This window comes from Homo sapiens, chromosome X, assembly GCF_000001405.40.
Source record: "Homo sapiens chromosome X, GRCh38.p14 Primary Assembly".
In the NCBI taxonomy this organism is placed as follows: domain Eukaryota; kingdom Metazoa; phylum Chordata; class Mammalia; order Primates; family Hominidae; genus Homo; species Homo sapiens.
The window spans coordinates 92797176-92801511 of NC_000023.11; positions in this window are offsets into that span (position 1 = coordinate 92797176).

Here is a 4336-nt window from a genome sequence, read left to right on the forward strand (position 1 = left end):
ACAAGTCTTAAAACACTCAAAAAAATTCAAATTGCATCAGCCATCTTCTCTTACCACAATAAAATAAAACTAGAAATTAAAAACAAGAGGAATTTTTGAAACTATACAAATACATGCTTGTGAATGACAAGTGGGTCAATAAAATATTAAGAAAAAATTGAAAAAATTGAAACAAATGATAATGGAAAAAAGCATACAAAAACCTATGGTATATGGCAAATGCAATAAAAGGGCATTGAATAGCTACAAGTGCCTACATCAAGAAAGAGGAAAAACTTCAAATAAACAATCTAATGATGCATCTTAAAGAACTGGAAAAGCAACAGCAAACCAAACCCAAAATTAGCTGAAGAAAAGAAAAAATAAAAATCAAAACAGAAATAAAGGAAATTGACATAAAGAAAACAATACAATAGATAATGAAACGTGAAACATAAAAATGGTTTATTGTAAAACAAAATTGACAAATTTTAACCAGACTAAGAATAAAAGAGAGATGATCCAAATAAATAAACTCAGACATATAAAAGTAGATGTTACCACTGATATTACAGTAATTAAAAGAAGCGTTAGTGTCTCCTATGAGCAACTATGTAACTATGGATTGGAAAATCTTGAAATGGATAAACTCCTAGACACATACCACAATCAAAATAAGAAGAAATCCAAAACCTGAACAGACTAACAAGAAGCAACAAGATCAAAGCCATAATAAAAAGTCTTCCAGTAAAGAAAAGCCCGGGACCCTATGGCTTCACTGCTGTATTCTACCAAACATTTAAATAAGAACTAATACCAATCCCATTCAAACTATTCCGGAATATAGAGGAGGAGGAAATACTTCTCAACTCATTATATGAGGTCAGTATTGCCCAAAACCAGAGAAAGACACATTCAAAAAAGAAAACTACGGGCCAATAACTCTCATGAATACTGATGCAAAAATCCTCAAAAAAATACTTGCAAACCAAATTCGACAATACTTCAGAAAGATCACTCATCATGACCAAGCGGGATTTATCCCTGGGATGCAAGAATGACTCAACATATGCAAGTCAATCAGTGTGATACATCATGTCAACATAATGAAGGATAAAACAATATGATCCTTTCAATATATGCTGAAAAAGCATTTGATAAAATTCAACATCCCTTTATGATGAAAAAAAAACCTTCAAAAACTGGTTATTAAAGGAACACACCTCAACATAATATAAGCCATATATGACAGACCCATAGCTAGTGTCATAATGAATGAGGAAAAACTGAGTCTTTATGAGATTGGAAGATGATAAGGATGCCCACTTTTGCCAGTGTCATTCAACATAGTATGGAAGCCCTAGCTAGAGTATTCAGACAAGGGAAAAAAATAAAAAGCATCTAATCTGGAAAGGAAGAAGTCAAATGTATCTTGTTTGCAGATGATATGATCTTATACTTGGAAAATCCTAAAGACTACAGAAGAAAATGATTAGAACTGATATGTTCAGTAAATTTGTAAGATACAAAATCAATGTACAAAAATCAGTAGCATTTCTATATGCCAACACTGAACAATCTGAAAAAGAAAAAGTAATCTCATTTACAATAGCCACACATAAATTCAAATACCTAGAAATTAACCAAAGAAGTGTAAGTAGATACAATGAAAGCTATAAAACATTGATAAAAGAAATTGAAAAAAAAATTCTATGTTCCTGAATTAAAAGAATTAATACTGTTAAAATGTCCATACTACCCAAAAGCAATCTACAGATTCAAGGCAATCCCTATTGAAATCCCAATGACCTTTTTCACAAAAATATTTTTAAAAAATTCTAACATTTATATAGAGCCACAAAAGACCCAGAATAGCCAAAACAATCCTGAATAAAAGGAACAAAACTGGAGGAATCAAATTACCTATTTTTAAATTATACTACACAGCTATAGCAACCAAAGCAGCATGGTACTTGCATAAAAACAGACACATAGGGCCAGGTGCGGTGGCTCACGCCTGTAATCCCAGCACTTTGGGAGGCCAAGGCGGGTGGATCACGAGGTCAGGAGATCAAGACCATCCTGGCTAACACGGTGAAACCCCGTCTCTACTAAAAATACAAAAAAGTAGCTGGATGCGGTGGTGGGCGCCTGTAGTCCCAACTACTCGGGAGGCTGAGGCAGGAGAATGGTTTGAACCTGAGAGGCAGAGCTTGCAGTAAGCCGAGATTGCGACTCCGTCTCAAAAAAAAAAAAAAAAAAAAAAGGCAGACACATAGAAGAGTGAAATATAATAGAGAACACAGAAACAATCCACACATCTACAGTGAACTAATTTTCAACAAAAGTGCCAAGAATATACACTGGGGAAAAGATAGTCTTTTACATCAGTGGTGCTGGGAAAACTAGATGTCCACATACATAAGAATAAAACTAGAACACTGTCTCTCACCATATACAAAAATCAAATCAAAACGGATTAAAGACTTAAATCTAAGATCTCAAACTATGTAACTACCAAAAGAAAACTTTGGGAAAAATTTCCAAGACATTGGTCAGGGCAAGTATTTCTTGAGCAATACTCCACATGTACAGGTAACCAAAGCAAACATGGACAAATGGCATCACATCAAGTTAAAAAGCCTCTGCACAGCAAAGGACACAGTCATGAAAAGAAGAGACAACCCACAGAGTGTGAGAAAATATTTGCAAATTACTCATCTGACAAGGGATAAATAACCAAAATATATAAGAAGTTCAAAGAACTCTACAGGAAAAAAAAAAAAAATATATATATATATATATATGTATATATATATATATATAAATAATAGTTCTACTAAAAACTGGGCAAAGGATATGAATAGATATTTCTCAAAAGAAAACATACAAATGACAAATAAGCATAGGAAAGGGTGCCCAACATCAGTGATTATCAGAGAAATCCAAATCAAAACTACATTATCTCATCTCAGTTAAAATCGCTTATATAAAAAAAGCCCAAGCAGTAACAAATGCTAGTGAGGATGTGGAGAAAAGGGAACTCCTGTAAGCTGTTGTTGAGAATGTAAATTAGTACAACCACTATGAATAACAGTGTAGAGGTTCCTCAAAAAACTAAAACTAGAGCTACCATATAATCCAGTAATCCCACTGCTGGGTATATACCCAAAAGATAGGAAATCAGTACATTGAAGAGATATCTGCACTCTCATGTTTGTTGCAGCACTGTTCACAGTAGCTAAGATTTGGAAGCAACCTAAGTGTCCATCAGCAAATGAACAGGTAAAGAAAATGTGGTGCATATACACAATAAAGTACTATTCAGCCGTAAAAGATAATGAGATCCTGCCACTTACAACATGGATAGAAATGGAGATCATTACGTTAAGTCAAATAAGCCAGGTACAGAAAAACAAATATCATATGTTTTCACTTATTTGTAAGATCTAAAAGTCAAAACAATTGAACTCATGGAGAAAGAGAGTAGAAGGATGATTACTAGAGGTGGGGAAGTGTAGTGAGGAGTTGGGGAAAGGTGGCAAAGGTTTATTGGCACAAAAAAAATTAAAGTATAAACAAGGTCTAGTATTTTATAGCACAACAGGGTGACTACAGTTGATAATATTTTTCATCTTAAAATAACTAAAAGAAGGTAACTGGATTGTTTGTAACACAAAGGGAAAATGAATTGATTGATACATCGTTCTCCATGATGTGATTATTTAATACTGCATGCTTGCATCAAACCATCTCATGTACCTATAAATATATACACCTACTATATACCCACGAAATTAAAACAAAAGATACAAAAAATAAAACAACCCAAATTTCACCACAAAATACCCCAAATTGCTAAAAAAAAAAAAAAAAAAAAAAAGAAAGAAAAGAAAAATCCTGCACAAAAAAAAAAGCAATGCTGGAACAATGCTGGAGGTATTGCACTGCCTGATATCAAACTGTACTACAAAGTTGTCATACCCAAAACAGCACGTCATACAAACCAGACACAGAACAATGGAACAGAATAGATAACACATAAATAATCCATGAACTTACAGCCAACTCATTTTCAGCATTGCACCAAGAACATACATTGGAGAAAGAACAGCCTTTTTAATAAAATGATGCTGGGAAAACTGAATATCTCTTTCAAAAGAATAAAACTAGATCCCCATCTTTTGATATGTAAAACTAGTAAACTCAAAATGGACTAAAGACTTAAATGCTAGGCATAAAAATTCGAAACTAATATTTTTAGGGTAAAATCTCAAAAGAACAGAAAACAAAAGCAAAAATAGACAATTGTAATGACCTCAAAATAAAAAGCTTTCACACAGAAAAACACACACAT